This window comes from Homo sapiens, chromosome X, assembly GCF_000001405.40.
Source record: "Homo sapiens chromosome X, GRCh38.p14 Primary Assembly".
Classification (NCBI taxonomy): domain Eukaryota; kingdom Metazoa; phylum Chordata; class Mammalia; order Primates; family Hominidae; genus Homo; species Homo sapiens.
In genome coordinates, this window is record NC_000023.11 from 53,431,149 (window position 1) to 53,457,514 (window position 26,366).

The 26,366-nt window shown below is 47.4% G+C and overlaps 1 protein-coding gene and 1 pseudogene across 2 annotated transcripts; both read right to left on the bottom strand.

Moving 5' to 3' along the window:
* Positions 110-3,228, bottom strand: HSD17B10 (hydroxysteroid 17-beta dehydrogenase 10). Of its 2 annotated transcripts, none has more exons than NM_001037811.2 (6): positions 3,171-3,228; positions 2,574-2,738; positions 1,099-1,263; positions 840-968; positions 677-758; positions 110-446 (listed from the first exon to the last, which is right to left on the bottom strand). In NM_001037811.2, the coding sequence occupies exons 1-6, from the start codon at positions 3,195-3,197 to the stop codon at positions 256-258; spliced, it is 759 nt and encodes a 252-aa protein (NP_001032900.1). In that variant the 5' UTR covers positions 3,198-3,228; the 3' UTR covers positions 110-255. The 2 variants fall into 2 exon arrangements, with proteins under 2 accessions (NP_001032900.1, NP_004484.1); NM_004493.3 differs by having other exon boundaries at positions 113-446; positions 650-758; positions 3,171-3,222.
* Positions 24,068-26,000, bottom strand: TIPINP1 (TIPIN pseudogene 1; annotated as a pseudogene).

Here is a 26,366-nt window from a genome sequence, read left to right on the forward strand (position 1 = left end):
GAAGGTACTGCCTTTCCCACCCCACCCTGGAGCTCTGAGCATCCAACCCTGTCACAGCCTTCACATTTCTTCCCCATGCCAGGCCCCCTAGCACACAACACTGCCTACACTCTGTGAGAAAAAGAGACTTTATTAGGCACAGAGGGCGACTGGTAGGCAGTTACAAAATGGCTACTGGGCTTCCTCCCAAGCTGGAGAGTAGTACCCCAGGGAAAGGAAGGGCAGAGGAGCGTGTGTTTTCTCTGCCTTCTCCCTTCAAGGCTGCATACGAATGGCCCCATCCAGCCGGATGACCTCTCCATTGAGGAATGGGTTCTCGATGATGGCCTGTACGAGGTGAGCATACTCAGCAGGGTCACCCAGTCGGCTAGGGAAGGGCACTTGGCTGGCCAAGAAGTTGCACACTTTCTCTGGGAGGCTGGTCAGCAGTGGGGTGCCAAACAGACCTAAACAATATAGCCAAATTCAGAGACTCACCCTTGCTTTCATGATTACCTGGTTCTTCCTTACTTTAGCCCTACTTCTTGGTGCTTCTCTGGGGCCCAAAGATAAAAGGCTGCTGCTGCTTAGGTGGTGGATACCTTCCCCTCTCAACTGTCCATGGATCCCACCCAATCCCAGGTATGATGGAGAGAGGGGATATGTCTACCTGGGGCAATGGTCATCACCCGGATACCTATGGGAGCCAGATCCCGAGCAATGGGCAGTGTCATGCCCACTATTCCCCCCTTGGAAGCAGAGTATGCAGCTTGTCCAACCTGGAGAAAGAGTAGAAGTCATAGGTGGGAGGGCCCCAACAAGTCACTTAGGAGGCATAAGTCTTACCCCTGCCCACACACCTGACCCTCGAAGGCAGCCACACTGGCAGTGTTGATGATGACCCCACGTTGGCCTCCCTGGTCTGGTTCATTCTGGCCCATCTCACCAGCCACCAGGCGGATCACATTGAAGGTGCCCATGAGATTCACCTGTAGGACAGATGGAGACATGCTATAGGACCTGAGGCAGAAGAAGCCTTTGTCCCCTAAAAACTTTGGGGTCCTCCACAGCCAGATACTTCTTACTACCACTATCCCTGGAGAACTTCCAAGGCCTTACATCAAGAACTCGCTGGAAGTCTTCCAAGGTATGGGTCTGGCCCTTCTTTAAGTTGTACGTCTTGCTAGCCACCGCGATGCCTGCACAGTTGACAGCTACATCCACACGGCCAAACTTTCCTTTTGCTAGAGCCAGAGCTGTTTGCACATCCTTCTCAGAGGTCACCTTCAAAGAGAGAAGTGGAGAAGGTATTCATCTCCCAGCACCCACTCTTCCCACTAAACCTGAGGGAGGGCAGGGCAGGGCATGCCCAGTCCTTGGGTGAGAAGAGATTTGTGAGAAGGGAGAGGCCAAGAGAAAGGTTGTAAAACTTGAGAGATAGGCTGGGTGCGGTGGCTCATGCCTGTAATCTCAGCACTTTGGGAGGCCGAGGCTGGTGGATCACTTAAGATCAGGAGTTTGAGACCAGCCTGGCCAACGTGGTGAAAACCCGTCTCTACTAAAAATACAAAATTAGCCGGCATAGTGACACATGCCTGTAATCCCAGCTACTTGGAAGGCTGAGGCAGAAGAATCGCTTGAACCCGGGAGGCAGAGGTTGCAGTGAGCTGAGATCGTGCCATTGCACTGCAGCCTGGGCAACAGTGAGACTCTGTCCCAAAAAAAAAAATTGAGAGAGTAGGTCAAAGGTGAAAATATTAGGTAATATAGAGCAGTGTTGCAAAAACATTTTTCAAATCAATACCTTCTTGATAAATTCACATGCTCCTGAAGATTCTTAATTGCTGTGGATCAGAGCACTAATGCAACCCTGTTGTGAGGCTGGGTGCAGTGGCTCACACCTGTAATCCCAGCACTTTGGGAGGCCGAGGCGGGCGGATCACGTGAGATCAGGAGTTCAAGACCAGCCCGGCCAACATGGTGAAACCCCATCTCTTCTAAAAATACAAAAAAAAAAATTAGCTGGGCGTGGTGGCAGGTGCCTGTAATCCCAGCTACTTGGGAGGTTGAGGCAGGAAAATCGCTTGAACCCAGAAGATGGAGGTTGCAAGGAGCTGAGATTGTGCCACTGCACTCCAGCCTGGGCAACAGAGCGAGACTCCATCTCAAAAATAAAAATAAAAAATAACCCTCTTGTGAGAATTATTGATAGGAAGATAAACTAGCTTTTTTGTATCCTTACCTGCTAAGATGATTTCATCAAGTTTCACTTTCTGTAGTTTGTTTCATGAAAACAAGTTTTTTGACTTTGTAAATATAAAATTACAAGGCACAAAATGCATTTTCAAACCATACATAACTCCTCCAGGAGATTGTTACGTCCAATCCCCATCCTCATTGTTGTGAATCCCAGCTTTAGAGAATCCTTATCACAGGTGGTCCCACAGTGCTTGAAGGCTCAGGCCAAAAGAGACAAGGAGATGGGTCTACCGCCCCCATAGAGGAGACCCTTATGGGAGGGACCCCCACAGGTTCCCAGGCCGGTGTTGGTGACCTCATGCACACCCTGGGAGAGGAGAGGTGACCCCACTTACGTCGGCTGGGGCGAAAACGCAGTTGTTTCCTAACTTCTTGGCTTGGGCCTCCCCACCCGAGTTGGGCAGGTCCAGAAGCACAGCAGAGGCTCCCTGCCCCACAAGTCGCTCCGCCGTGGCCAGGCCCAGGCCCGAGGCTCCTCCGGTTATTACCGCCACCAGGCCCTGTCAAAAGGGACATGGTCAGGGTCAGCTGTTACATTGCCCAGACCATCCCCACGCTGTCGCCTGCCTGTTCTCCAGGCTTCTGAGGAGAAGGGGGGAGGGGAGAGGTCGTGGTCACCCCTGCGGGTAAACTAGGTGTGCTGCTTCTCCTCAGCGTTGGGACCTCGGGGGCAGAAGGGATCTCATCCCCAGACAGCCCGTCCCGTGACGATAGATAGATAGATGATTGATAGATAGATAGATAGACAGACAGACAGACAGACAGATGCGCCGCGGAGTGCTGACTTTCACCTCTTGAGCCCAACGGCCACAATACCAGGCCTACATAAGCATGACCCTTTCCCTCGAAACCGATCTCTTTCTCCTAGTTCCACGGCCGCGCTGTCCCGGCCCGTAAAGGAAGGCAAGCAACAGAGGCAAAGAACCTTCTACCTTCACGCTCCGACACGCTGCTGCCATCTTGTCGCCGGCCACTCCACGGGATGGGGATGGGGGCGCGGGCGCTCGTTGATTGGCCGAGGCGAAGCGGCGGAAGGGGCGGATGCGACGGGCCGGGGCGTCTGCCGCTGCCGCATGAGACGTGGGGGCGTGGCCTGGTACGCTAGTCCTTTGGCCAGAGGGCGGATTCCGCCTGCTAAGGTATCCCCAGAGTTATTTCAACTGGGGAAAGAGACCAATAGCAGAAGTACAATACCACAACACCCCTCGCCCTACTCTCTAGCTGGCCTTTTGGCAAGTGGCCTGCTCCGCGTGGGGGAAGAGGGGTGGATATTGAGAACGGATGCCTTTCTCCTCTGAAAAAGTCTTAATTCAAGTATGAATGTATTTGAGACTCCTATATGCTAGACGGTGTGCGGGGCACCTGGGATACCCAGCGGAATAATAAAAGATTCATGCCTTCCAGGAGGGCACAGTCCAGGTGGAGAAAGAGAATTACAGTACAGACACAGACGAATGGACGGAACCAGATTCTGGGACACTCAGACAAGGAGATCCAAAGATGAGGAGTCTGAGTTAGAGAGAGAGAGAGCCATGTAAAGAGAAATATGTTGAGGCCGAGATAGGAAGAGAGATGCCAGGTAGGATCACAGAGAGATGAATGTGGAAAGCCGCTAAGAGAGATGCTTGGAGACAGACATTCTAGGACAGCTGCTGAGAAGCACAAACCTAAAGAGGCAAAAACATCTTTCATCAGTTCAGGCTTTGCTACTCTCCTCTATCTTTGTCTAATTTAAGTCCAAAAGCCCAGATCACACACTGCAGATTGGACTTCAACCAGAGACTATTATTTAAGACCCAGGTCTTTGTCATCCTAGAACATCTTTCAGGCAGCTTCCAGAAGCTATGTCATTAGAGTCTTGAGCCCAGATATCTAATCTGTCTTCCTTCTATACTTTTCCTCAAACCAAGGTCTTCAGGCCATAAATCTTAGCCCACCATTTCAGCCTCAGAACTGCTTTATGTTTTCTCTATCTGAAATATCTCCCCCCACTTGCTTTCTCACCCAGGAAGATTCCCCTCCAGGCCTTCTAGTTGTTGACAGCCACCACACTCATAATCACTACACCGTATTTACCAAAGGATTTAGCACACCGGTCTCACAATTTTCCTATCTACATGAAGTGCTTCCATCAATTTATAGCACTCTTCATCCGGCCCAATATGCTGTAGCCACAGTGGCCTCCTTTGTGTTCATCTTTGCATTAGCTGCTCCCTCTGCTTGGAATGCTCTCCCCTGATCTTTGCATGACTGCTTTTATTTTTTTTCATTCAGAACTAAGCTTAAATATCACCTTCCCAGAGGGGTCCTCCCTAAATATTCAAACTGTAGCCACCTAGACACTATCCCATTGCATATTTGAATTATCTTCATAGCACTTGCATGTCCGTAATCCATTTTCCAACCTTAGGGCCAGATGTGCTGTGGAATTCAGAGTTTTTTTCAATTTGAGAAAGGAAGACATGTAATTTATATTACATAACTCTTTAAAAAAACTAGTCAAACATAACTTTTTGTATAGTCTATATTATATAACTATTGAGAAAAGCCTGGAGCATCGTAATGAAATATTAATATTTCTGAAGTGAAAGGTATGAAAATTCACACCAAGTGTGAATAAAGACTATAAATAGCCTCACACTACTTCAGGTCAGGTTTTGTCATCTATTGAGTTTGGGCTCCAAAGTATGAAAAAACAACCTTATGCTTTTCAGAAGTTTTGGCATTGCAGGATTGTGCCTACAGGCTTGTGAGCCTGCATGCTCCGCTAACCTGGCCTTGTTTGTGTAGTTCTCCCCCTGCTGGAAGGTAAGCCCCATGGCACCAGGGGCTTGTCCAGCTGGTTCACCTAATGCCGAGAACACTGCTTGGCGTGTACAAGACACTTAAAACAAATGTGTGAAATAAATGAATTAATGAATTAATCTTGGAAGAATTTCCAGGCACAGTTTCATGATTCTTTCACCTGCCCAACTCCGGGAACCTTCACCTCCTCTCTACTTTAACCACCTGTCCAGGCCACCTTATTGCACTTGTCATTCCCTGGAATAACCTCCTGCCCTCCCCAGCATCTACACACCATCTTTTCTCTCTCTGACCATGTTCTCGAGTTGTCTTGGATCTCTTCCCCTCTACCGCTTTTTTTTTTTTTTTTGAGATGGAGTCTCCCGCTGCCCAGGCTGGAGTGCAGTGGCGCATCTTGGCTCACTGCAACCTCCGCTTCCTGGGTGCAAGCAATTCTCCTGCCTCAGCTTCCAGAGTAGCTGAAATTACAGGCATGGGCCACCACGCCTGGCTAATTTTTGTATTTTTAGTAGAGATGGGATTTTACCATGTTGGCCAGTCTGGTGTTGAACTCCTGACCTCAGGTGATCCGCCCTGCCTCAGCCTCCCAAAGTGTTGGGATTACAGGCATGAGCCATCGCGCCCAGCCTCAGCTCTATTATTTACTAGCCGAATGACCCTGGACAAGTTACTTAACTGATGTGCCTCAGTTTCCTCTTCTGTAAAATGAGTATAAACAAATGACTATTCGTAGGGTTGTTAGGAATAAATGAGTTAACAACTATGTATTTAAAAAGGACTTGGAACAGTGCTTGGCCTTTAGCAAGAGCTATATAAGTGTTAGCTATGGTTACTCTTCAGAGCAGTGTTTCTCATCCTTTTCTATGCTACGGACACCTATGGGAGTCTGGTGAAGTCTTAGGAACCCCTTCCCAGAATAATGCATGCGTCCTATAAGTAGGATTACAAAAGAAACCAATTATATTGGGGTACAATTTTCAAAATAAAAGGAAACGCACCTGTAATGTAGTAATATATGTGCTTCTTTATTAACACATTAAATAGCAAGCTCTATCAACAGGTCTAGTGACAACCATGATTTTTGAAATAGTGATGTTATTTTGAGAGATATGCAACAACCGTAATAATGAAAATCTGATCTCTCTTAGTGTCAAAGTCACAGGTGCTAATATTACTGCAGTTTGTTACCCACATCCCCTGGAAGGATATGCTATATTTCTGTTAGTAATAGTGAAAATAATGATGCAATTTCCCCTCTATCCAAGTCCATGGGCTCTTTGAATTCTATTCACTGACTCCTCAGGGGTCTTTTGGATTGTGGGTTAAGAACTGTGTTTAGAGGGAGCTCTCTGAACTTCTTCTGGTTCTGAGGGCTGCACAATTAAAAGAACTGTTTTTAGAGCAAACGGAAGCCATTAGTGAATACTTCTCTCTTGCCACCTCCAAAATTGTCTCTACCCACCCACACCATCCTTTCCTTGGGTCTCAGAGATGTCCTGTTTAGGGCTCACCCTTCCACTGGGTTTTGTGTCCCAGCCCCTCCCACTTTCTTGGGGATTTCTGCTACTGAGCATCCTCTCTCTTGATTGCACGCACCTCTGTCTCAAAACCATTAGAAAATAGGGAATAGGGGCTGAGTGCAGTGGTTCACGCCTGTAATCCTAACATTTTGGGAGGCTGAAGCAGCAGGATGTCTTGAGCCCAGGAGTTTGAGACCAGCCTGGGCAACATAGCAAGACCCTGTCTCCACACACACAAAAAAATAGGGAATAAAGTGATGTCAACCTTTACACGCACATACTCAACAGTTTGGATGCATGTCTCATGGGAACCTGAGGGCCAGAGGTGCGCAAAGGGGCCCAGCAAGGACACCAAAACAAGCAACACGCAGCATTGTGTCAAATTAGCCCTGCCAGGAAACAGAGAAGAATAAAGGTGGTCTTTACTCCTGGGTGGTCTTCACTCCTGGGAGATAAAAACCACAAGATAACCCATTTAACTCTTGTGGGCACCTGCAGTTACCTCTGCAAAGACAGAGCTGCACTGGTTCCAGCTGGCTCTGAGGTGACATTGACAAATATAAAGAATCCCAATTATATCATCATCTATGTGAGGGGAAAAGAAGAACCCCAAGTGATGATTATACAGAGCCTGTCATTTCTGAGTGAGCTGGGGCACAATCTGAATGATTGGTTTAAACGCTGAAGGACTGCAGGGGACATGAAAATTACTGTGGCGAGCGTTTGAGAGGATGCTGAGGACGCATGTTGGCTGAGTGTTTGCCACTTGAATAAATGGGGCTGATGTCTGAATGAACCTGAAGGATGACAGCCTCAGGTTATGGTGACTTTACCGTTGCCTAAATCAACTGTAATTTTTCAGGCTTTGTGTAATCAGACCTTTCTGGCTGCATTTGACATATTCATCACTTGCTCTTCCTAGAAACTCCCACTTGGCTTCCAGGAAGCCTGACTCTCCTGGTTTCTTGTACTCCCCTGATTGTTCTTTTGTCTCTTCCCTGGGTTCTTTTTCTTCTGCCCCCTCTCTGGGGAGCTTATCCATCTCCTGGTTTCAATACTCCCTCTCTGCTGAGGACTTCCCAGTCTCTACTTTGAGCTCATCTTCTCCACTGAACTTCAGAATCATATAGCAAATAATTTGCTGGCCCTCTACACCAGATGCCCTAAATTAAACTCAATCATTGCCCCCTAAAACTGCTGTATCTCAATTGGTTGCAGTACTAACTTCCCAGACACCCAAGCCAGATCCTGGGACTCACGCCCTCTTCACCCCATCTAAGCAACTGCCAAGTCCTGCTGATTTAACTCCTACATACTTTTTGGATCTGGCACCTCCTCCCACCTACTTTCCTATTATCACCATCCAAAATCTCTTGCCTGTACAATTGCAACTGGTCAGACTCCACTATTGTTGCTCTTAAAAGGATCATCCAAGAAACCAGCAGAAGCCTCTTCCTAAAACCCAATTTTTATTGTTACCCACTTGCTTTCAAACCCCTTCAGTGCCCCCTCTTCACTTTTTTTTTTTTTTGGAGGGAATCTTGCTCTGTCGCCCAGGCTGGAGTGCAGTGGCACAATCTCGGCTTACTGCAGCCTCCACCTCCCAGGTTCAAGCCATTCTCATGCCTCAGCCTCCCGAGTAGCTGGGACTACAGGCGCCCACCACCACACCCGGCTAATTTTTGTATTTTTAGTAGAGACAGGGTTTCACCATGTTGGCCAGGCTGGTTTCGAACTCATGACCTCAGGTGATCTGCCCACCTCGGCCTCCCAAAGTGCTGAGATTACAGGCGTGAGCCACCGCGCCCGGCCCCCACCTCCTCACTTTTAAGGCTTTCCATAATCCGATGGCTGCTGGCTAACTTCGGCCTCTATAACACGACACTTTCCAGTAACAACACACTACTTGATACCCCCACAGTAGTGTTGCCAGATGAGGTATAGGATGCTCAGTAATTCAATTTGAATTTCAGATAAAGATGAATTTTTTTTTTTTGAGACAGAATCTTGCTCCGTCACTCAGGCTGGAGTGCAGTGGCACGATCTCAGCTCACTGCAACCTCTGCCTCCTGGATTCAAGCAATTCTCCTGCCTCAGCCTCCCTAGTAGCTGGGACTACAGGCGCCCACCACCACCCTCGGCTAATTTTTGTATTTTTAGTAGAGACGAGGTTTCATCATGTTGGTCAGGCTGGTCTCGAACTCCTGACCTCAGATGATCCACCCACCTCGACCTCCCAAAGTACTAGGTGTGAGTCACTGTGCCCGGCCGAATAATTTTTTCATATAAGTAACCCCATGCAATCTTTGGGACATGCTTATATTGTAAAACTATTTGTTATTTATCTGAAATTCAGACTTGTGGGCACCCTGTATTTTTATTTGCTAAATGTGGCAACCCTACCCCACAGATAACCCCCAGGATGGTGCGATGCCCTTTCTGAGGGTCCCACAGCTCTGAACCAACACTTACCCACCTGAGAGACTGAGGATCTATTCTGATCTCTGTATTCTTGCTACGCAACACAGAGAGCCTGGCATAGAACAGATGGCAGTGTTTGCTAAGTGAATGAATGCATATGTGTGACATAGCAATAAACCTGTATCTTCCGGTGGAATCAGTAAGTGTTGTGATCAGTATACGGTGTCAGTTCCGCTTATATCCACCTTCCTTTCACAGTCTTGGAAAAATCACCTCATGGTTTACACATCCCCCCCAGCAGGTGAGCTAGAAAGCCAGGAGTCATCTGTAGACTTAGGGAAGCCATTATAGGACCAGTTGGGTTTTCTGTTTTTTATTCAGAGTTGGGAGGAACGGGAGGGAGACGACCATCTTCTGGCGATATGAAAGTCGAGAAAGGCAAACAGGAGGGGAGCAAGAGAGGAAAAGAAGAGGATGTGAAAAGCCCGAAGGAAGGCAGGAGAGCAAGCAGGTAGGAATAAAGGCGAGGAAGCGGGAGCCAGCTGGCACCACAGCGAGGAGTGACAGCCGCCGGCAGCAGGGGCCGGGAGCTGGGAGGAGGGAGGCTCAGGCAAGCCGCGCTGAGCCTTTCTTCTCCTTCCCGGACTCCTCACCACCCATCCTGCTAACCAAGGGCCTCCACCTTGCTCGTCGTCAGAGGCAGACAGCCAGGACTTGGCCCTCTTGGGCTTCCTAGCTCTCCAGCCCGGGAGTTAGACTAGTTTTCCAACTCCCCCGGCCCCAAATCGGGAGGACAATAATGCCTTCCGCTCCGCGCCCGCCAAGGTCGAGTTAGGAAAGACTTGGAACAGAATTAAACGGCTTTGGGGAAGATGAGTCAGCCGGGCGGGGCTGCAGCTGCCAGTGAAACCCCTGCCAGTGTGATTGGGCAACAACCAGAAGTAGGGGGCCCGCGGGGTGGTGGTGCCATCTCTTAAAGGCAGTTTATGTAATAAGTCTTGATCGCGCACCCACTAAAGGGGCGGCTTTGGGGTCAGCCTCAATTTCCTCCACTGTGAAGTGGGAATATGAATACTTGACTTATCCGAAACGAATCATGTCTGCAAGGTGCCTGGGCTATAAAAAGCGGTCAGTCAGTAGTCAGGGTCGTGCTTAGTGCAGTGCCCTCCACCCTAGGCCACTTTCGCCATGTGAGACTGTCCCAAAGGCGGGGATGTGGGGTGCAGTGGGGAGCCCCTGATCGGGCACGGGCAGAAGACAAGTTCTTTTTTTTCTGCCACTTCCAGGTGAGGAAGAAAAGACGCCTGCTCCGGAACCAAGGGTTGGGTGGCGATGTACTGGCCTCACCCGCTTTAAGCAAAGTCACCTTAGATTTACCATGTTTGCTATTCACTCATTCATTTTCTTTATTAGAGGGACTGCTGATTAAACGGAAGGACTTACACTAAGACTCCAGTACGAGGCTGTACTATAGACCTGACCGAGTGAGCATGAGAAGACGAGACCCGGCAGAAGGAGGGCGACAGCGGGCACCGAGATCCACAGGTCCAGAGTCTAGTCGCCACCCACACCCTGTCTTTTGGGAGCGGTGCGCGCCATCTGCGCATGCGCTCCCCATCCCTGCCAGGTCCCCGGCGGGGTCAGCCGGCTGGCTGGTGGAGGTGCTACCCGCGCATGCGTGTCCTGCTCACAAGGCGCTCCCAGTGCGGTTGGAGTGTCTCCAGTGGAGCTGGCAGTTGGGAGGACGGAGGCCCGGCCCATAGCGGGTGGCTGTTAGGAGGTATGGATAAAGGACCTGTGTATCTTGGTGCCCGCTGTCGCCCTCCTTCTCCCGAGGTCTCGTCTTCTCACACTCACTCGGTGTGTGACAGCGACAGGTCACAGAGGGCGGTAAAGTGCGGCGCCCTTGGGGCGGTTTCGTCTGGCGCGGAGTAGAGGTGGCCGGCAGTTGTGGTTGCTCCTTTCACCTGGACTCACCTGTGTGGTCCCCTGGCAGGGACTAAAAACCAGAAGACGGAGGGGAGTGAATGTGTTTGACTCGGAGGAAACCCCTCTTGAGCCTGCCCTCACATCCTTACAAGGGACCCAGTCTGAGGTCCAGTCGTCCCCAAACCATCTACTCCCCCACCACCCCCTTCCCTGACTAAAGGCTAAATTTGGGCGGTAACCACGCCCTACCCTATCCCCTTGGAGTCCTTCAGTCAGCTCCAAAGGCCCACCCCACATTCTGGGGGCCTCTGAGTCAAAAAGGAGGGTCCATTGGGCAGGGTGGAGTTGAGGAACCTGCTGTGGAGATGTCTCTGGCCTGGGGAAACCACTGCTTCCTCATCTGCCACTGAGACTGAGGAAGACCCGCAGATGGGCCTTGGCAAGCACCCAGAAGAATAACTCCAGACCACCATTCAGGAAGTTAAGACAGTGGGAGATTGGGTTAATGACCTTGACCCCAGACCCCTGTAAGCAAAGGAAAGGGAGCCTCTGGCTGCTCCTTCTGCAGATGGTAGGTTGAGGCTTCAGGGACCTTAAAACCTAATGGTTCTTATGAATGAGAAACATTCATACCCAGTAGTACTGTTTAACTCACATACCATGTCTCAGGATCTGTTGTGAGCATATTAACTCTTATTTACTTATTTATTTATTTATTTATTATTTTATTTTATTTTTTTGAGACAGAGTCTCACTCTGTCACCCAGGCTGGAGTGCAGTGGCTTGATCTCAGCTCACTGCAACCTCTGCTTCCCGGGTTCAAGCAATTCTCCTGCCTCAGCCTCCCAAGTAGCTGGAGTTGCAGGTGCGTGCCACCAAGCCTGGCTAATTTTTTTTTTTTTTTTTTTGCTATTTTTTTAAGTAGAGATGGGGTTTCGCCATGTTGACCAAGCTGGTCTCGAACTCCTGACCTCAGGTGATCTGCCCCTCTTGGCCTCCCAAAGTGCTGGGATTGCAGGCATGAGCCACTCTGGTCAATTTTTGTATTTTTAGTAGAGACAGGGTTTCACTATGTTGGCCAGGCTGGTCTCGAACGCCTGACCTCAGGTGATCCACCTGCCTCAGCCTCCCAAAGTGCTGGGATTACAGGCATGAGCAACCGCACCCGGCCCATATTAACTCTTTTTTGTTTTGTTTTGTTTTTTGAGACAGAGTCTCGCTCTGTTGCCAGGCTGGAGTGCAGTGGCACGATCTCAGCTCACTGCAACCTCCACCTCCCGGGTTCAAGCGATTCTCCTGCCTCAGCCTCCTGAGTAGCTGAGATTACAGGCATGTGCCACTACGCCTGGCTAGTTTTTGTATTTTTAGTAGAGACGGGGTTTCACCATGTTGGCCAGGATGGTCTCGATCTCCTGACCCTGTGATCCGCCCACCTCGGCCTCCCAAAATGCTGGGATTACAGGCCTGAGCCACCGCGCCCGGCCATATTTACTCTTAGTCCTCACAACAACCCTATGAGGTAGGCATTACCATCCTCCTCGTTTTACAGATGAAGAAAGTGAGTACTGAAAAGTTAAGCCACTTCCCAAGTTCTCACAACTAGTCAGAAGCAAAGCAGGACTTCAAACTCAGGCAGTCTGGCTCCAGAGTCTGCACTCTTTTGAACACAAGTGATACTGCTCTGGGGAAGAGAACAGATAAGAGAGACCCAGTAGAGGTCAAGATTGGAACTCATTTCCTAAGCACCTTCTCTCACACTATTTCAATCTTCCAAATGACCCTGTGAGGGATGAATCTGAGGCAAAGAGAGGTTACATATTTTTAAAGAAATATATTACTCATGACACTTATTAAAGATGGTAGGGCCAGGCTTTATTCAAGGCCATGGCGACAGGTATGCAGACCACTGCAATGGGGTCTTGCAGTGGGAGAAAGATTGGACTCAACTCTAAGTCCAACAATGACAAGTGGAGATTTGTAACCAAGGAGCAGGGTAGGGTCAGTGGATGAGAAACTACTAAGAGGAAACATCTAGGACAAGGGGTTTCTGGCTAAACTGACTTGATAGGATTATTGCTGAAGGCAGGCCAGGATGATAAGAATCCAGGGTAGTCAGATACCAAGGGTGGGAAATTTCCCCTAAATTGACTTAGCAGGATTCTTGCTCAAACTAGATTCAATAAGGATAGAGAGAGTCCTTATAAGGACCTTTATAAGGACAGGTCAGGCCTAGTCAAGCAGAGTACATGGAGGAGACTGACTAAGGTTTTGGTCAAAGGAGACAGTCTTTGTCAAATATCTTGCCCAGCTGGGCAAGGTGGCACATACCTGCAATCCCAACACTTAGGGAGGCCAAGGTGGGAGGATCGCTTGAAGCCAGGAGTTCAAGACCAGCCTGGGTGACATAGCGAGACCCCATCTCTACCCCAAAAAATGTTTTGGGATTTTTCGAGACAGGGTCTTGATCTGTCACCCAGGCTGGAGTACTGTGGCGCAATTTTGCCTCACTTGCAGCCTTGACCTCCTAGGTTCAAGTGATCCTCCTGCCTCAGCCTCCAGAGGAGCTGGGACCACAGGTGTGCACCACCATGCCTCGCTAATTTGTTTTTTTTTTTTTTGTAAAGAAGGGGTCTCACCATGCTGTCCAGGCTGGTCTTGAACTCCTAGGCTCAAGCAATCCTCCCACCTAGGCCTCCCAAAGTGCTGGAATTACAGGAATGAGCCACTGCATCCGGCTACAAAATTTTTTTTTTTTAATCTTGCCCTAGGTCACACAAGTAGTAGTTGGACCAAGTTGATGAAGCAGCCTGACTCAGGCAACACATTAGTTAACCAAGACAAAAGATGAGATGAAGATCCAAGGTCTCTTCCAGCCTTGGGGCCTTTCACTACATGCATTTTTTTGTTTTGTTTTGTTTTGAGACGGAGTCTCGCTCTGCTGCCTAGGCTGGAGTGCAGTGGCGTAATCTCAGCTCACTGCAATCTCTGTCTCCCGGGTTCCAGCAATTCTACTGCCTCAGCCTCCTGAGTAGCTGGGATTACAGGTGTGGGCCACCACGCCCAGCTAATTTTTTTTTTTTAATTTTTAGTACAGACGAGGTTTCACCGTGTTGGCCAAGCTGGTCTCGAACTCCTGACCTCAGGTGATCCACCCACCTAGGCCTCCCAAAGTGCCGGGGTTACAGGCGTGAGCCACCACGCCCGGCCCACTACATGCATTTTAACAAACATTTATTTGTTAATTCAGCAGATGTTTATTATGCTGGGTGTTCTCGGAGGCACTGAGGACTCAGCAGTGAACAAAATACACGTGGTCCCTGTCTGCAACTCTCTGAAGGAGGGTGAAGGTAAAGAAACACAGCCAACATTAGTTAGTGGTAAAAACCGATTTTATTCAGTAACTACTGACAGTAGAGGAAAGAGCTGAGCTTCATTCTTATTTGCACAGAGGTGACTAGGAGTTTTGTTTTTTTTTTGAGATGGAGTCTCACTCTGTTGCCCAGGCTGCAGTGCAGTGGCACGATCTCGGCTCACTGCATCCTCCCAGGTTCAAGTGATTCTCCTGCCTCAGCCTCCCAGGTAGCTGGGATTACAGGCACGCACTTTGGCCTCCCAAAGTGCTGAGATTACAGGCGTAAGCCACTGCACCCGGTCCATGACTAGGAGTTTTATTTTTTATTTTTATTTTTATTTTTTATCTTTTGAGATCTTGCTCCGTTGCCCAGGCTGGATTGCTGTGGCGGGATCTCAGCGCACTGCAAACTCCGCCTCCGGGTTCATGCCATTCTCCTGCCTCAGCCTCCCAAGTAGCTGGGATTACAGGTGCCCACCACACACCTGGCTAATTTTTTTTGTATTTTTAGTAGAGACAGGGTTTCGCCGTTTTAGCCAGGACGGTCTCGATCTCCTGACCTTGTGATCCACCCCCCTCGGACTCCCAAAGTGCTCAGATTACAGGCGTGAGCCACCGCGGCCTCATAATGGTAAACTTTTCTTAGAGCTAAGGAAGAAGGTGGTCAGGACCCATCCTTGTCAGGTGTTGGCTAGGACGAATGATAACACTCTTTTGACAGCCCTGAGCTTTTTCAGACTGGAACTCAAAAGGGAGCTGGGCTGCCCCCAAGCGGTAGCCTTAGGCTACTAGAAGCTATGACAAAGTTTGGTCAAGTCTCTTAGTGCAGGGATTTGAATGCAGTGTTTCTGCATAGAGTTTGTGCAGCTTGAGGGGGAGTGTGGAACCAACAATAAACATGTAAATGACTTTCAGGTAGTGATATTTGAAGACAAGGGAGGTTGGGAGAAGGAATTGACTATTTTGGTGAACTGAGAATCCAGAAATACAAAGGCCTGGGAAGAACAAGTGAAAAGCCCCGAGGCAGGACCAGGCCTGTCTTTTGCCAGGGCAGGAGGGAAGTCCCGTTTTCCTGGAGCACGGGTAGCACTCAATGAAAGCAGTGAACAGGGTGAGACTAAGGCAGAGGATGGTGGAACAATTGAAGTCTGAGATCTTGGAGATACTCAGGGGCCAGATCACAAGGACTATGTGCCAGCAGGCCCACCCCATAAACTCATGCAAATTTACACTGTATAAGGGCAGCTTGTGCTGAAGGGATGAGGACAGGGACCTAAAATTGCACCTGTACTATGTTCACCAAGTTGAACAGTACATCCTGGTACAGGGCTAAGTCAGCCAGAAGAAAAGGGTGCCTTTTCCCAATAACCACAAGTTAGGCAAACTGTGAGCCAGAGGGGTTGCATCTGCCCAGAGGGGCACTGCTGTGGTCTGAATGTTTGTGCCCCCTCACCACTAAATTCATAAGTTGAAATCCTAACCCCCAAGGTGATGTTATTGGGAGATGGGACCCCTTGGGAGCTGGGCTCCACCTTCATGAGTGGGATTAGTGCTCTTATAAAACAGGCCCAAAGGAGCTCAATTGCCCCTTCCACCAGGTGAGGACACAGTGAGAAGGTCTCATCTATGAACTAGGAAGTGGGTCCTCATCAGACACTGAATCTGCCAGTGCCTTGATCTTGGACTTTACAGCCTCCAGAGCTGTGAGAAATGATTTTCAGTTGTTTATAAACTACCCAGTTTATGGTTTTGTTGTTGTTGTTGTTGTTATAGCAGCCCAAATAGACTAAGACAGGCATTTTTGTCTAAATAGCATGAAGGGGGCTGGACACGGTGGCTCACGCTTGTAATCCCAGCACTTTGGGAGACCAAGGCGGGTGGATCACCTGAGGTCAAGGGTTCAAGACCAGCCTGGCCAACATGGTGAAACCCTGTCTCTACTAAAAATACAAAAATTAGCCAGGTGTGGTATGTGTGCCTACAATCCCAGCTACTCTGGGAGCTGAGGCAGGAGAATTGCTTGAACTCGGGAGGCAGAAGTTGCAGTGAGCCAAGATCTTGCCACTGCACTTCAGCCTGGGTGACAGAGTGAGACTCTGTCTAAAAAAAAAAAACCAATAATAATAATAAATAGTATGAAGGTGTTCTATGGGTTAGCTGTGGCTTGTGGGCCAGGCGCTGAGCTAGCAGTTGCCAGGGTAGCAGACCAGTTATGAGGTTATTGAAAAAGCTGAGGCAGCTGTCTTAAGAAAAGATAGCCATGAAAAATGAGTTTATTTTACATTAATTATTACAATGGCCCATAGTGGCTGTTCAATGGGCATGTTCAGCACCTCCATGGAGAAACTGCTGTGACAGCTGTACAAGGGAAAGGATGATATGTTCAGGTACTCATTGATATTTGAGAGTGACTTCATCCAGATGAATGAACCCCTCTTTCCCCTCTTCCTCCTGCATTCCCTTCTCTCTCCCCACTCAAGACCTTCCTCAGTCTCTCTCACATTCCTTTATTTATTTATTTTTTTGAGACAGTCTTGCTCTGTCACCCAGGCTGGAGAGCAATTGTGCGATCTCAGCTCACTGCAAACCTCTGCCTCCTGGGTTCAAGCGATTCTCATGCCTCAGCCTCCCAAATAGCTGGGATTACAGGCATGCACACCACGCCCAGCTAGTTTTTGTATTTTTAGTAGAGATGGGGTTTCACCATGTTGGCCAGGCTGGTCTCGAACTCCTGAGCTCAAGTGATCCATCCACTTCAGGCTCCCAAAGTGCTAGGATTACAGGCATGAGCCACCATGCCCGGCCTCCTTTTATTTCTTCAACAGAGCATTTATTAAGCACTAGTATGTACAGCACATGCAAAAATGTCCTCAGTGATGTCTCCAAAATCAGGTAGAGGAAACAGACAAGTTTAAAAAAAAATTTATTGAGTTATCAATTTATGCATCTCTATCTTACAAAAAGGATTTGGAGCAGCTGTCAATTCCAAGATTTATCTTCTCCTGCCACTATACCAGGATGGACAGCAGACCTAAGCTAGGGCAAGATGATAAGAATTCCTTTTATTTATTTTGCTTTAAAAATGTTTATATTATAGGCCAGGCGTGGTGGCTCACACCTGTAATCTCAGCACTTTGGGAGGCTGTAATCCCAGCTATTTGGGAGCTTGAGGCATGAGAATCGCTTGAACCCAGGAGGCAGAGGTGGGCAGATTGCTTGAGCTCAGGAGTTTGAGACCAGCCTGGACAACATGGCAAAACACCGTCTCTACGAAAAATACAAAAATTAGCTGGGCATGATGGTGTGTGCCTGTAATCTCACCTACTTGGGAGACTGAGGCAGGAGAATCAATTGAACCCAGGAGGCGGAGGTTGCAGTGAGCCGAGATCGCGCAACTGGACTCCAGCCTGGGTGACAGAGCAAGACCCCATCTCAAAAAAAAAAGTTTATATTATTATATTTATGTTGTATATATTTTATCTTCTTTTCAAGTGTGCAGAAGGGAATGATAGAAAATAAAACACTCCCAGTTATATCAGATCTTCACATTTTGCCATGTTTACTTTGGATTTAATTTTTTTTTTGTTTTTGACACGGAGTTTCACTCTTGTCGCCCAGGTGGGAGTGCAATGGCATGATCTCGGCTCCCTGCAACTTCCGCCTCCCAGGTTCAAGCGATTCTCCTGCCTCAGCCACCCAAGTAGCTAGGATTACAGGTGCCTGCCACCATGCCTGGCTAATTTTTGTAATTTTAGTAGAGATGGGGTTTCACCATGTTGACCAGGTTAGTCTCAAACTCCTGACCTCAGGTGATGTACCCACCTCGGCCTCCGAAAGTGCTGGGTTTACAGGTGTGAGCCACCACGCCCGGCCTAGGTTTAATTTTTTTAAAATAAAGCATGAAAGATCCAGTTGACTCTCCCTTGGTTCCCTTCCCTAGGTCCCCAAGATGCATCCCCTGTAAGCCCTCAGTTTCCCTTGTCCTGAATTTGGAGTTTTTCATTCCCATGCATGTTTTGTCCTTCAATTTTATATGAATGTATTCATAAATATTTTCTAGTAATTTAAAGAACATGATATGGTCTTGTTTTGTGTGTCTTGAAACCTTAGACCCGTATTGACACTGTGGGGCCCCTCCTGCAGGTTGCTTTTTATCATTCAACGTTGTCTATATTTGTACACATAGCTCTAGATATCTCTTAATTGACATGGTGCTCTCCAGCATCCAAGGACTTCAGGGTCCATTATTTTCTATGATCCTCACAACAAATGTCATGACCCCCTCAGGACTCAAGAAGAATCTGAGACTCAGAGAGTGAAGTGAAGACCACAAAGGGGCAGAGCCCCAGGTTTCTGACTCCTCGCTCACTGTGGCTCCTCTGCTTGGGTGCTATCTGAATAATACCATGAGTCGCATCATTAAGACAAGAAGGGTGAGTAACCAGAGGGCAGGCAAGTGGGAGAGAGAGGAAAGGAGCATGGAGAAGAGGGTAGAAAGGAAGGGTAGACAAGGGAAGGAAAAAAAGGGGGCAGAACCAGCCGAGGGAGCTGTATAGCTTTAAATCTATCAGTGATTCTCATACTCAACCTTGGCCACTCATTGGGATCACCAGGGGAGCTTCGCCAACTAGTGATGCCTGGAATCCACCCCTAGAAATTCTAACATAATTGGCCTAGAGGGAGGACTGAATAGGAGGATGTTTAAAAGCTCCCCAGCTGGTTTGAATGTATAGTTGGGGTTGCAAGTCATTGACTAAGCAAAGCAATTTGTCAGGCAGTGAATTGGCTGAGGGGGCGAAACTCAAAGGCTGGCTTGTTAACATTAATAAGATCTTACACCTTGAAGGCTGGCTTGATAATACGATGTAAATAAGGTATTGAGATCTTAGGCCTAGATTCTATCAACAGAAATGGGCTAAAATGAAGGAGGTGATAATCCATTTTCCTTAGGGTTGTTCATACTAGTCTTACACTATTGTGTTCAGTCACTGGGGCTTTGACTTGAAGGAGAGACCAGCAATTTTCACAATGAATACCAGTAAACCTCTACAGAGTAACAGAATTCAGCAAACACTCTAAGTACTTCCTTTATGCTGGGCCTGTGCTACAGGGAAGGAAGACAGAGATGAGAAAATCATAATCCTTGCCCTCAAGAAGCTCAGACAAACAGGCAACCTGGACATATATACAAACAATTAACTCAATGGGCTAAGTGCTAGAGATAAGTCCAAGGAACAGAAAGCAGAGAACACCTAACTCTACCTTGGGAAGACTGGCAGAGGGGCTAAGGGTAGGCTTCACAGGAGGGCTGCATGAGTGAACCAAGTCTTGAAGGTTGAGTAGGAGTTGGTTAAGGGCATGGTTGAGGCTGGGAGTTAGGAAGAGCATGTGCAAAGGCTTAGGGTGGTAGAAGCACATGGAACACAAATGTGGCAGGGGAGAAGCTGGTGATGAGGCTGGAAAGATGGGGGCCTTGTGTGCCATACCCAGAAGTCCTGGCTTGACTCTGTAGGCAGCCAGGCATCATCGAAGTGAGGAATATAGGGAGAGCAGGGAGGGCCTTATGGAGAGGTGGCATCTAAGCTGGGTCTTGGAGGATGAGTAGAATTTCAACAGGCAGGGATGTGGGATGGAGAAGAAGGCTTCCCAAGAAGGGACAGGAGCAGAGAAAAGTGTGAGCAAAGATGTGGAGGCAGGATGAGTTTGACATGTGTCAGACACAGTGAAGGAACCGATCCTCTGGTAGGAGTGATCACAGTCATCTGGGGCACTTTTTTTTTTTGAGACGGAGTCTTGCTCTGTCGCCCAGGCTGGAGTGCAGTGGCGCGATCTCGGCTCACTACAAGCTCCGCCTCCTGGGTTCACGCCATTCTGCCTCAGCCTCCCCAGTAGCTGGGACTACAGGCGCCTGCCACCACGCCCAGCTAATTTTTTTGTATTTTTTTGTGGAGACAGGGTTTCATCGTGTTAGCCAGGATGGTCTCGATCTCCTGACCTCGTGATCCACCCGCCTCGGCCTCCCAAAGTGCTGGGATTACAGGCGTGAGCCACCGCGCCCAGCCTATCTGGGGCACTTTTTTAAAAAATCTTTTTTTTTTTTTTTTTTTTGAGACAGAGTCTGGCTCTGTCGCCCAGGCTAGAGTGCAGTGGTGTGATCTTGGCTCACTGCAACCTCCACCTCCCAGGTTGATTTGATTCTCCTGCCTCAGCCTCCCAAGTAACTGGGACTACAGGCACATGCCACCACACCTGGCTAATTTTTGTATTTTTAGTAGAGATGAGATTTTGCCATGTTGGCCAGGCTGGTCTTGAACTCCTGGTCTCAAGTGATCCACCTGCCTTGGCCTCCCAAAGTGCTGGGATTACAAGCATGAGCCACTGTGCCTGGCCAAAATATCTTTTTTTATTTCTTTACTTTCTGAATACACTTACTTTAAATTAAGAAAAAAAAAAAAGCCTGGCGCAGTGGCTTATGCCTGTAATCTCAGCACTTTGTGGAGGCCGAGGTGGGAGGATTGCCTGAGCTCAGGAATTCAAGACCAGCCTGGGCAACACGGTGAGACCCTGTCTCAATAAATAAATAAATAAATTTTAAAAAGAAAAAAGGATAAAATATCAATTCCTGGCCTCTACTCCCCTCCCATCCTCCAAGATGAATCTAATTTATATGGTCTGGTAGCGCAGTCCTGGCATCAGTATATTTTAAAAGTCCCCCAGGTGATCATAATCTGCAGCTGGGCTTGAGAGCCACAGCTGTAGGGGAGCTGTTGAGGACATGGACGGAAAGGTCGGCTAGAGCCAGATACCAGTGACTATAACTTAGCTAATGTTTATTGATTTTTTTTTTTCAGATGTGGTCTCTGTTGCCCAGGCTGGAGTGCACTGGTGCAATCACGGCTCACTGCAACCTTGACCTGCTGTGCTTAAGTGAGCCTCCCACCTCAGCCTCCTGAGTAGCTGGGACCATAGGCATGTGCCACCTTGCCCAGCTAATTTTTAAAATTTTTTGGTAGAGACAGAGTCCTGCTATGTTGCCTAGGCTGGTCTGGAACTCCTGAGCTCAAGTGATCCTCCTGCCTCAGCCTCCCAAAGTGCTAGGATTATAGGCATGAGCCACCTCGTCTGGCCTATTGAATGTTAACTGTGTACCATTCACTTAGTGTATATTAATCCATTTAATCTTCACAACTCTATGAGGATGGGTACTATTATCATCCTTGTGTTGCAGCTGTGGAAACATAATTTGTGCAACGTCATATGCCAAAGTGGCAGTGTGGCTTTCAAGGCATATCCTAGAAGGGCTTGTATTCCAGGCCAAGAGGTTGGCTTTTCTTCTGTAATCACCTTTGTTAGTTCAATGTGTATTCATCCAGAATTTTTCTTTATGCATCTGCAAGCAAGTACCCATACACATTTCCCCCTTTCTTTCTTTCTTTTTTTTTTTTTTGAGATAGAGTCTCACTCTGTCACCCAGGCTGGAGTGGAGTGGCATGATTTGCCTCACTGCAACCTCTGGCCCCTGGGTTCAAGCAATTCTCCTGCCTCAGATTACAGGCATGCACTAAAAAGGTAGCATACTCTTTACACCTTCTGTGCCTTGCTTTTATGAACAATATATCCTGGAAATCATTACACATCAGTACATAGAGAGCTTCCCCATTCTTTTTTTTTTTTTAACAGCTCATTAGCATTTCTTTGTGTGCATGTACCCCACTTGATTTCATCTTGGATTGGTTTCAGTTTCTGTCTATCAAAATGCTGTAATGAATTATCTTGTTTATGTGCCATTTTGCATATTCCCAGAAATGAAATTGCTGGGTTAAGGGGTAGGTAGATGTGCATTTGTAATTTAAATAGGTGTTGCCAAATTGTCCTCTGTAGATGTTGTACTGTTTTGCATTCCTACCTGCAGTGTATAAGAGTATGTTGGCACTTAAAAAATTTTTAGAATGCTGGGCGCGGTGGCTCAAGCCTGTAATCCCAGCACTTTGGGAGGCCGAGGCGGGTGGAACATGAGGTCAGGAGATCGAGACCATCCTGGCTAACATGGTGAAACCCTGTCTCTACTAAAAATACAAAAAATTAGCCGGGCGTGGTGGCGGGCGCCTGTAGTCCCAGCTACTCAGGAGGCCGAGGCAGGAAAATGGCGTGAACCTGGGAGGCGGAGCTTGCAGTGAGCCAAGATCACGCCACTGCACTCCAGCCTGGGCTATGGAGTGAGACTCCGTCTCGAAAAAAAAGAAACATTTTTTTAGATTCAGGGGTACATGTACAGGTTTGTTACATAGGTATATTGCATGATGCTGACGTTTGGGCTTCTATTGTACCTGTTACCTGAATAATGAATACAGCACCCAATAGGTAGTTTTTCTTTTTTCTTTTTCTTTTCTTTTCTTTCTTTTTCTTTTTTTCTTTTCTTTTTTCTTTTTTTTTTTTGACAAGGCCTTGCTCTGTTGCCCAGGCTGGAGTGCAGTGGCGCCATCTCAGCTCACTGTTACCTCCACCTCCTGGGTTCAAGCGATTCTCCTGCCTCAGCCTCCCAAGTAGCTAGGACTACAGGCATGTGCCACCAACACTGGCTAATTTTTGTATTTTTAGTAGAGACGGGGTTTCGCATGTTGCCCAGGCTGGTCTCGAACTCCTGACCTCAGGTGATCCACCCGCCTCGGCATCCCAAGGTTCTGGGATTACAGGTGTGAGCCACCGCATCTGGCCACAATAGGTTGTTTTTCAACCTTTGCCCCCCTTCCCTCACTCTCTCCTTTTGGAGACCCCAGTGTCCATTGTTCCCATCTTTATGTCTGTTTGTATCCAATGTTTAGCTCCCACTTATAAGTGAGAACATGTGGTGTTTGTTTCTTTTTTCCCAATTAGATCCTGATATTTTAGGGCCAGGTGTGGTGGCTCATACTTGTAATCCCAGCACTTTGGGAGACCAAGGCGGGTGGATTGCTTGAGCTCAGGAGTTTGAGACCAGCCTGGGCAACAAGTCAAAACCGCATTCTACAAAAAGTATTAGCCAGGCGTGGTGGCATACGCCTGTAGTCCCAGCTACTCAGGAGGATGAGGTGGGAGGATTGCTTGAGCCCAAGAGGCAGAGGTTGCAGTGAGCTGAGATCATACCACTGCACTCCAGCCTAGGTGACATAGCGAGACTCTGTCTCAAAAAAAAAAAAAAATCCTGATATTTAAATGTGGATTTTTTTTCAACTTTTATTATAGATCAAAGGGTACATGCACAGATTTGTTACATGGGTAAATTGCATGACACTGAGGCTTGGGGTCCCAATCATCATATTGCCCAGGCAGTAAGCATAGTACCCAACAGGTGGTTTTTCAGTCCACGCCCTTCTCTCTCCCTCTCCCATCTAATGGTTCCCAGTATCTATTTTTCCCATCTTTTTTTGTTTTAGTTTGCAAGATAATTTTTATTTTTACTTCTTTTAAAAAATGGACATTAATATTCAATATATATGTATACCTTAAAACTTCACCCAGGTTTACAAAAATTAGTCGGGCGTGGCGGCACATGCCTGTAATCCCAGCTACTCAGGAGGCTGAGGCACGAGAATCACTTGAACCTGGGAGGCAGAGGTTGCAGTGAGCTGAGATCGCGCCACTGCACTCCAGCCTGGGTGACAGAGCAAGACTCCATCTCATAAAAAAACAAAAAACAAAAAACAAACAAACAAACAAACAAAAACAACAAAAAAAACTTCACCCAGGCTACTCTGGGCACACTGTCCATGGGTTAGTCCTGCTCTGTAAGGAGCAGTAAAAAACAACAACAAAATCTCCCAATTTAGTGAAAACAAGGCATTCAATGGCAGACCAGCAGCAGAAACTGCTTATTACCTAATAATCATTTTATGAAGTCATATCTGTATAAAAACAAACACTAAAGAGAACAGACAACTAAAGTGACAGGCATACTTATAAATAAATACCAGATTACCAGATTTTAAATAGTAATCTATAAAAGTTTTACTACCTAAGGATTTTCACTCAAAGAAGAAAAAATACATAGTAACGCCAAGCTTGCAGAATGGGGAGTTAACAGATACATTTTCTCTTAATGGAAACCTATCTAGCTTCAGTAGCATTTCTGGATGAAGCATCAAGTTACTGTTGCACTTTTTTTTTTTAATTTTTTTATATTTATTGAGACAGAGTCTCTCTCTGTCACCAGGCTGGAGTACAGTGGTGCGATCTCAGCTCACTGCAACCTCCGCCTCCCGGGTTCAAGCCATTCTCCTGCCTCAGCCTCCCGAGTAGCTGGGACTACAGGCACATGCCATCACGCCCAGCTATTTTTTGTATTTTTAGTAGAAACGGGGTTTCACCATGTTGGCCAGGATGGTCTCAATCTCTGGACCTCGTGGTCCGCCTGCCTTGGCTGGGATTACAGGCGTGAGCCACTGCGCCCAGCCTTTTTTTTTTTTTTTTTTTTTTTTTTTGAGATGGAGTTTCACTCTTGTTGCCCAGGCTGGAGTGCAATGGTGCAATCTCGGCTCACAGCAACCTCTGCCTCCCGGGTTCAAGCGATTCTCCTGCTTCAGCCTCCCAAGTAGCTGGGATTACAGGCATGTGCCACCATGCCCGGCTAATTTTGTATTTTTAGTAGAGACAAGGTTTCTCCATGTTGGTCAGGCTGGTCTGGAACTCCTGACCTCAGGTGATCTGCCCACCTCGGCCTTCCACAGTGCTGGGATTAAAGGCATGAGCCACCATGCCTGGCCACTGTTGCACATTTTTAAAAGACTGGTCCAGCTGTGTTTCCTCTCATGTTAAATCATTCTCTTCATTTAAAGTATTGGCAGGAGCATCATTACATAGATTGTCTAGAATGTCGTTGTTTAATCCATTTGACTCCTCCTTTTGATCTTCATCAGTATTAACCTCTTCAATTGTCTGTACCCTGGGTGTATTCATTAACATTATCATTTCCTAGGGACTATTACTCAGCAGCTTTGCCTGCCTTCTTTCCAAAGCCGGTTGTTTATTTCTCTCAATCCTTTGTTGTTGCTCATCTGTTAGGCTTCTACTTGACTCAGAAGCAAACATCTCACTTTCAGATGAGTTTGTCAGAAAGGGATCTAATTCAGTAGCAGTTACACAATGTCCATTATTTTCCCCAACTTCCTCATTATTGCTAACAACATATTCATGTAAAATAGGGAGATCAAGTCGAATTCATTTTAAACAGGTCTGAATTTCCTTTTTATTTCTCAGGTATTCAACTCTGTCAATAAAATCCTCAAACTGCAGTTTAGGGAATCGCCTACGTGCCCAGTGTTCCATGTGTCTGATTAGCATCTTTAAGTCTTCAGCCTCATGACTTTTACCTTTGAATTTTGCCTTATCAAATACATGCCTTAAGGCTGGAAGCCCTCTCTCTGAAATTAATCTGTGAGCATCCAGCTCGGATATATTTCTTTTAACTGCTCTCTTTGGAGGTACAGGAACAAGTGCTCCACTTCCTGACTATCAGGTTCAGCTCCTTCATCATCTTGTCTCTCTGGAGAGGCTGGAGGTGGGAAAGGAGGAAAAGTTTCATCTTCTACATGCTCATAATCTGGAAGGTCAATCATGCCATTCTCCTGTGATTCTAGCATCTTTTCCTCTGGCTTTCCTCCCTTTCTGGACGCTCCTGGATTTTCTTTCCAGGTTCATCTAACCTCACAGACAGCAGGGGCCACAGTGCAGAGCTCAGCATGCAAACTAAGCATGCTTCTTCTATTTTTCCCATCTTTACATTCATGTGTATTCAGTGTTAACTTCCACTTATAAGTGAGAACATGTGGTATTTGTTTTTCTTTTCCTGTATTAATCTGCTTAGGATAATGGCCTCCAGCTGCATCCATGTTGCTGCAAAGGACATGACTGCGTTCTTTTTTATGACTGTGTAGTATTCCATGGTGTATATCTGACACATTTTCTTTATCCAATCTGCTGTTGATGGGCATCTAGGCTAATTCCATGTGTTTGTTATTGTGACTAGTGCTGCAATGTGTCTTTTTGGTAGAACGATTTCTTTTCTTTTGGGTATATACCCAGTGTGTGGGCACATTTTTAAAGACTTACTTAATTTTTGAATATGT

What these genes read in the sequence shown, in the direction of transcription:
- HSD17B10 (NM_004493.3), bottom strand. Translation starts at nt 3,197, where the DNA reads ATGGCAGCAGCGTGTCGGAGCGTGAAG. An exon ending in CAGCGTGTCGGAGCGTGAAG is followed by an intron (nt 2,739 to 3,170) that starts GTAGAAGGTTCT and finishes CCCTTTTGACAG; the next exon opens with GGCCTGGTGGCGGTAATAAC. An exon ending in GGTGATGACCATTGCCCCAG is followed by an intron (nt 447 to 649) that starts GTAGACATATCC and finishes TATATTGTTTAG; the next exon opens with GTCTGTTTGGCACCCCACTG.